Source organism: Homo sapiens, chromosome X, assembly GCF_000001405.40.
Source record: "Homo sapiens chromosome X, GRCh38.p14 Primary Assembly".
Classification (NCBI taxonomy): Eukaryota; Metazoa; Chordata; class Mammalia; order Primates; family Hominidae; genus Homo; species Homo sapiens.
Genome location: NC_000023.11, coordinates 150009587 through 150017425, shown reverse-complemented (window position 1 = coordinate 150017425; position 7839 = coordinate 150009587). Strand labels below are relative to the sequence as shown.

The window sequence follows — 7839 nt, the reverse complement described above, 5'->3', positions numbered from 1 at the left end:
CTAGGGTATGGATGGGGGAGCTCATGATGTCTTTGTCTGCAGGAGAAGAGATATTCCCAAGAGTTTCTTTCAAATTAAGAGATAAAAAGCGGAAGAAGTAAAACAGAGAAGTGAAGGAAAGAAAAAAACACCATAAAATGCCATTTCTTCTGCCTTAGCAAGGTCAGTTCAACACAGTATGTCTCTCCTCTTGCTTCCTTTCTAATCTCACTCCTTAGATCACGTATAAAGTATTTAGCTTTATTACTTTTATTAAGACATAATCATTAGTGTAAATCACAAGGTCAGAAAGCCATACATCTTTAGGGAAATCCAACTTGATGTGGTGATCAATAATTTGTGTATTCAGGATCATCAACCTCACTGCACCTTTTAAGCATCTATCAAAACTAGTGTTGATGAATGGAAATACTCCCTTCAATTTTAAGTAAATCTTAGGGCATAAATAATCCAAGCTCAGACAGCATTCTAGTGACAAGATAGGCCAAACCAAAATGGGCTACACAAGTGTAAAGGCCTTGTGTTAAGAATTGTTGAACCATATTTCACTCAGTGTAAAGGTTTTCATTTGAAGTAGATTTAATACAGTCCATTCCAAACAGGCCCTTTGCAATTCATTGGGAGCTTTAAGAAGGTGGGAAACTTTAAAGGCACACTTTATTCTAAAATCCTTTGTTGGACACCTGAATACATACAATGACAATCATTAGCAAGAATAAAGGTTTTATCTCATTTCCACAGTACATTTTACTTAATATGTCTCCAATCAGCAGTGCTCTACCTCTGGAATTCCAAGCTCAACTTGTATCTAAGCACTGTCAAATGAAAAGGAGATAATAAAATTACTAGTGTGTTGCAAGGTGATTAAATTTACATAATGACTCTGGATTTGATCAAATGCCAGATCCCCCTCTAAAAAAATTACCTGTAGAGGCATTAAATCTTCCAGCCACACACACTTCACTGCGTTTATGCTTTATCCACAGAAGCTCCCGTTTATCTTAGCAGAGATTACTGCCATCCCACCACAGGAACACAGCATGCAGGTAATGCCTGGAAGCTTATTTAGAAGAGTGGCAGGGGCTCATGCTGCTGATTTGCAGAATAAATATCAGAAAAATGTGAGAGAGACATTGTGTTCATCCAGAGAACAGACTGTACTACAGACTCAGATGCAGACTTTTTCTACTCTACCAAAAATGGAATGGCTTCTTAAAATGCCATCCAAACACGTTCTCCTGAAACTCAAGGCTTCCCCACTACTAACAAACTCTAAGGAGCTTACCATGAGCGGGCCTTTCCAGGAGCAAACTGGTGAGAATTCAGGCTATGGTGTGTCAGATTTGGAAATCCATTCCTGTCAAGCTGGTAGGTAACTAATGCATGTTCTCTCATCCTAAATATCATCTCAAAATAGGATTGCATAGTGGGATATTTCCCTGTTGCTTGTTTGCTGCATGGCCCTGGATGGCAGTCTTTGGAATAAAAACAATCACACAAACAAGTAAAAAACCTATGCATTATAGTAATGACACACAGCCAAGCAAAAGGCACCATGATACAGCTTCCAGAATACTCATCATGCCTATTGAAAAAAATTACACAACCAAAGAGCTCTGAAATATGATTTGCTTCTAGAACATACCACTGCAAATTGGTGGTACCAGCTCAGAGAGAAAAAGAAGTCTTACCACTTTCCAATAAAACATCAAGAATAGGGACTGTAGCATCAGCATGTTGTTGACTGGGTCCAGACTGCTTTTGTCAGATAAAAGCAATTACTTCTCTACTATGACTGATGTAAATTGGTCACTCCACATATCCCTAGCTTCAGTAACAGGCAGAGTCTTGGCTGGACAACTACTAAAACCTAAACCCCACTAAAGCTCTTGCTGTTCAATGTTCTATGTTATCCATCCCTTTCAAAGCATCCCACTGTTTGCTATTAAATATGCACCAATCTCTTGCCAGTCTTCTGTAGAGATTTATTTTATTTTATTTATTTTCTATGCAACAAAAGCCACATTCAAAATCTTCTGTAAAGATTTAGAGGTAGCTATGGTCCTCCTACAGCCTACCTACAATACACCTGTACTGCATTCAGTGAAGATAAGACTCAAGTCTCAGGTCAGCATTATCAGTAAATTTTAGAGTTAACCACAACTGTAGCAGGCGGGTTGCCTCAGCAACCTGTAACAATACTTTAGCATATGTCCAACCAAGAGTACTTATGAAATAACCTATAAAAAGTGCCATTATTGGACTACTTTTCATGCGTGTAACAATTTGTATATAAAAAGACCAAATTTTCAGTTGCCAGCACCAAGTAAGGACTATATACTAGTGGATTAATGATTTCTAGGCAGATTTTATTGCACTTAAGAATATGTATGAGTACAATAAATAAATAGTTTGAGAGGATACATGATGTCTTTTAGTATTTCAATTTTTTATTAGTTGTTAATTTTCGTAATAGTCATTTGGAAGGCTAAAACTGAAATTTGTTTCCCTGAAAAAATGTTTTTATCACATTGGTTATTATGGAAGAGTTGTTGTGAGTCATGAAACTGCTGTGTTCCATTTTTCTTTAAAAAAAAAAAAAGTCCCCAGGGAACTCAGGGAATTAAACTCATAAATTTAATTTCAATATCTGGTAAGCTGTGAGGACAATTATTAAGGCAGTCATTTATGAGTATCTAGGGGAAACCCAAGTGATAAACAGTAGTCAATACAGATTCTTCAAATACAAATCATGCCAAACGAAGCTAATTCCTGTTCATGATAGAATGACAAGCTGAATGGTGAAAGAGGATGGAGCAAAGTTAACATATCTTGGAGAGAGAAGCATCTGATATAATTTAACCTGACATTCTTATAGTAATGTCAGAGAAAGACCATAAATAGAGCTGGTAAAGAGAAATCTGATGGCATAGCTAGACTGGTTTGGTGTAAGCTCAATGGAACATGTTACAGAGTAGGATAAATTCCAGATGCAATACCACCCAGATCATGCATAACCACTCTTAGGTTATATCAACACAGACTGTAATCATAGTCAATGATTATACAAAGTATATGTAGTTACATACACAATTGGGAGATAAATGAATAAAATACATTATTGATATATCAGAGTCGTTTACATCAAACTATGTGTCAAGTTTTTTAAAGTCAAGTATTTCCCATAGAGAATCTTCACCAAATGAGTACAAATGTAACTAGAAGGAATTTGTCTGTAAAAGGGGCTACCGAGAAGAACCAAGTGCTATGATGACAGGAAACAGACTCCTTTGTGATTTTGAGGGGTAGGTATTCAAGAGTCCCCTTAACCTACAGAGCAAGTCCAAACTCTTAGTCTAGTATTCAAGGCTCTTCATAAACTGGGTCGGACTTACCGCTCCAGCTGTATGCCATGCTGCTCTCCACCTTACCAGACTAATTGCCATGCGTTCCCTGGGACTGCACACCTGCAGAGTGTGTGGTTCTTCAAACTAAACTACCTTTCACCTCAATGTCTTCCTATAATAATCTCATCACCCCTTTAAGACAAAGCTCAAAACCACCTTCTTTCAAACAGCATTCCTTCCAGATACTCTAATTCGACATAATTTTTTACTCCTCCAATATCCCCTTAACACCTTGTTTAAACTTCTGTATAGACCTTTATTATTGCCTTCTTTGTATGAGAATTAACAGTGCACATGTCAATTTCTCATTACAGTGTGAACTCCTGGAGAGTGAGAGCCATGTCTTATTCATTCTTTATCTTCTTCACAGCAGGCATTCAACAAATATTCATTGAATTGGATTGGATTGGAACTGGAATAAACACACCATCTAGACATTTATTATTGGGAATGCCCCCACGATTCCAGGGCCAACTGTGATCGGTTTGGCCTTTCCCTTTCCAGATTTTCAGGCTAATTTTCCAGTGCTGGAAATAAACTAAAAATAATAAAACTAAAAACCTAAAAACAAACCCCTTTGTAACCATTAAATTTCTATCAGACAGTGAATAAAGGACAGTTACCTAACATCTGAAATGCCTTTCCTTTTGGATACTGAGGAACTTAGAAATGTTCAATTCTGTGATTGGGCCATGATCGCATCCTGATTCTGAATCCCTAAAACGTGAAGGCAAGGCAGCTGGAGAGCCAGGATTGGAGTCCACCAGAAGAAGGCAGAGACAGAAACTGTCTCTTGGTTACCAAGGTTTCTCTTAGAAAACCCCATTCACACAAATCTGAATTCAGAGGCAACACCCAGGGTGAGCAACACTGATAAGGAAACTAGAGAGTTCTGATCAGGAAAATAAAATAAAAGACCATTCCCTCTTGTGTCTTGGTGTTTTGGGTCAAAGTAGGAGTTGCAAGTCCATAGCTCTAACTAATTTACAGTATAAATGTATTAAACAAAAATGCACAATAGCTGGAGATTCTGCCTGAGGTCTTCATAATGTCATTACACAGGAAAAACTGTGGGCTTCATACTGTGGGAATCTCTTTTTGGCTTGTATTATAAGCAGGAAGTGCTTCTTCCCACCCAAGATCCCTCCCATGGTTTAGCTTGTAAGAAAATGCTGTTCCAGCATGAGAAAACTCAGCTCCACCCTCTGGTATGGAGTCTGGCATGCAGTGTTATGTTCACAGTGTGGCTATTATTGTGGCTTGCCACTAGAGAATCGCAGGCTCATAGAAAAGCTAGAAATACTGATTTAAGGGAGGCAGTATATATATTGATTAAAAGCATATTTTTTAGGGTCAGATAAACCTGGGTTCAAATTCTAGTTCTTCCATCTACCAGCTGTGTGACCGTAGACAATGTCCTTAGCCTTCCTGTGCCTCATCTGTCACTTTGGAGATAATTACTGCACCTCCCTCATGGGTTTGTCATGAGGATTAAAGGAAATTATGCATATAGTAAATGCCTAAATAAGAGTGAGCTAGAATGAAAGCTAGTGAGGTCAGAAGTCACTGACCTCAAGTTCCAAATAAACAAGAACTTTATAGTTGATAAGGCCAGACCAGAAAATATGGACTGAAGCGGTAGGAGAAAACTTATGAAAAGGATAAAATAAACTATTAGAAAGTATTGGGACAAACTCTGAAGCCTGGTTTGAAACCCACTTTGAGAGTCGCCCAAGGCCAGAGTGGACACATGGTGCTCAGGAAGGAAAACCAATCAAGTTAATTTTCATCTCCATGGAGCATTTGCAAGCCACCAGAAGTCTTCAAGTGTCAGAATGCATAACTGGGTAGTGCCCTCAATATAGAGAAAAAGTAAAAGAAACCTGAAGACAGCAAATGAACACTGAATTTACACATTCAAAATCAAATTCAGTGCCCTATATACAAAACTTATCAAAACCTCAGGGTTTTCCTAAAGTTACATTTCAACCATGTAGCCTTTAAGGGAGTCAGCAAGACTGCATGTGCTGACATGGAAAGCATGGAAAGATACACATGTGACATGGTTTCAATGTGTGTCCTCTCCAAATCTCATGTTGAAATGTGATTCCTAATGTTGGAGGTGGGACCTGGTGAGAGGTGACTGGTCAGCCCCTTTAGCTGCTTAGCATCATCACCTTGGTGATAAGTGAGTTGTCACTTTGAGTGCACATGAGATCTGTTTTTTTAAGAGACTGGGACCTTCTCCGTCTCTCTCTTGTTCTCTCTCTCACCATATGATGTGCCTGCTCCACCTTCGTTTTCCACATGATTGTAAGCTTTCTGAGGGCTTCACCAGAAGCAGATGCCAGCAGCAAACTTCCTGTACAACCTGTAGAGCCATGAGCCAATTAAACCTCTTTTCTTTGTAAATTACCCAGCCTCAGGTATTTCTTTATAGCAAAGCAAATGGCCTGATACAACATGGAAGTGGATGTACAAAACTTGTGTTTACCATGCTCCAGTCTGAGTTTTCTAAGAAAGCATATATAAGTAAATGTGTGTATGTTACCTATATGTACATATATGTATGAATGTATACATTACATACACACTTATATACATATAGAAAATTTTTATAGGGATATGTAAGAAATTGTTATTGATGTTATACAAAGGAGTGAAACTAGGAGCTTGATGTGGAAGAGGATCTTCTTTTCATTTTATATGCTTTTGTACTGTGCATTTTTACCATAAGTATGTATTATTTTTATAATTTAAAAAGGGACAACAACCCCAGAAAGAAATAACTCTAAAAACTCAGTACATTGTACAGTACTTTGCATGAAGTAGGACTCAGTAAATACTTGACTGAATGGATGAAAGTCACTCAATCACCCCATCAGTTGGTATATGGGATGGGGAAAAGCATATACAAAGAAGAGAAAAGAAATAAAAAAGGAGAATAGCAAGCACCAACTTGGAGCAGTTTTCATTCCCTCAAAAGATAAAAAAAAATGGAAGGAAAGTCACCAAAGGAAAAAGCTGACAAGTATCTTCCCCACCCCAGTGGTGCCTGCTGTCAAAAATTGCAATGTGCTTTGCAAATACTGTCTGCAGATCTGTGAGAGGGTGTAAACAGAAGGCTCTTTAAAGAGTTAATCAAAGCTGTGCTGTGCTCCAAACAGGGAAGGAGCAGAGAAGAGGTTAATGTCCTCCTCGTGGCCATGAAAGATGCTTTGCCATGAGGATGCTTCTCAGTGAGGAGCCCAGGGACTACATGGAAAGTGCAGTAAAACGCTCCACATTGGTACTAATAGGTGCCATTTGCAGAACACTGCCTTCCCAAATCTGAAAGTTTGTAATGAAATGCTTTTCCACAAAGAGCGGTAGAAATTATGGGTACAAAACCCCACTAGGTTATCCACCTGTCTCTTAGATTGGATTTAATTCCATATAAATCCTGATATGGATTTAACACTACATAAATCCTAATGCTTTCAATGATGTATAAGGGGGATTTACACTAATAAATCCTAAATAGAAAATACAGGCACAAAGCAACAATACTAAATGCAAAGGAAAGAGAGTCACCTTCACTGATTCATCTTGATATATACCAAGGTAATTATGAACTGCCAGCATGTTTTTAAATTTAGGGTTTTTTTTTTTAAAGAAATTACAACTTCATTGAAAGTTTAATGGATGAAGCTATCAAAGTCAAGTTAAAACAAACAAGCACAGATGCCATTTTCATTGATCAATGCAATTTAGTATCCTCATGGGACAGAACCAAATTCCTGAACAAATATAGGAGAGAAATAAGGAAGCCTGGCCCCACAGCAAGCACAGTGTACCTTTATTTTAACAAGGGCAAACTTGGCCTTTGGTCAAGGTGGTGAGACTGAGTGCAGTAGCCTTGTTGCCACTAGAGAAGTCCACCAGAAAGCAGATTTACTCATCAATGAAAACTATATAGATCATTTTCAATTTTGTAATTTAGCAGTTAGGGGCCCTTATAAATATGTTGTCTATGTTATTTCACTTTACTTTTCAAACTTTTCTATTTTCCCTCCATTCTATCCAGTTGTGAAAACTGGGACACTTCCAAACTTTGGGACAATTACTCACCAAATGGCTCATAGAAAAAGCACAACCGGAATCCAGACTTCTCTTCTAGCAAACAACCTTTATCTCTTTCCTTCTCCTTTCTTCTCTACCTTACTTATTGTCAGGAGATGTGAGTGTGAGGCCTGGCTGTGCCACCAACTTGCTGTGTGGCCTATAAAGGTGGCTTCTCTTCTCTCAGGTTCACTCTCCCTATGTATACAATGAAGAAGTGGACTAAATGAATGCTAACTTTCAATGGCATTGACTCCATTAATATAAAAAGTCCTTCTTGATCCCAGTATTAACCTGACAGAGCTGGAGGCCTTTTCTAGTCTGATCCCCA

At 38.2% G+C, this 7839-nt stretch overlaps 1 long non-coding RNA gene across 1 annotated transcript in view; it reads right to left on the bottom strand.

The window, feature by feature from the left end:
* Positions 1 to 638: 638 nt before the first annotated feature.
* EOLA2-DT (EOLA2 divergent transcript) overlaps positions 639 to 7839 on the bottom strand; it is a 78240-nt gene continuing 71039 nt past the window's right edge. Inside the window, exons 10-12 of the long non-coding RNA NR_027456.1 lie at positions 1286 to 1475; positions 926 to 1089; positions 639 to 815 (exon numbers count right to left, since the gene is read on the bottom strand). This is a non-coding gene — a long non-coding RNA (EOLA2 divergent transcript). The remainder of the gene's footprint in view (positions 816 to 925; positions 1090 to 1285; positions 1476 to 7839) is intronic.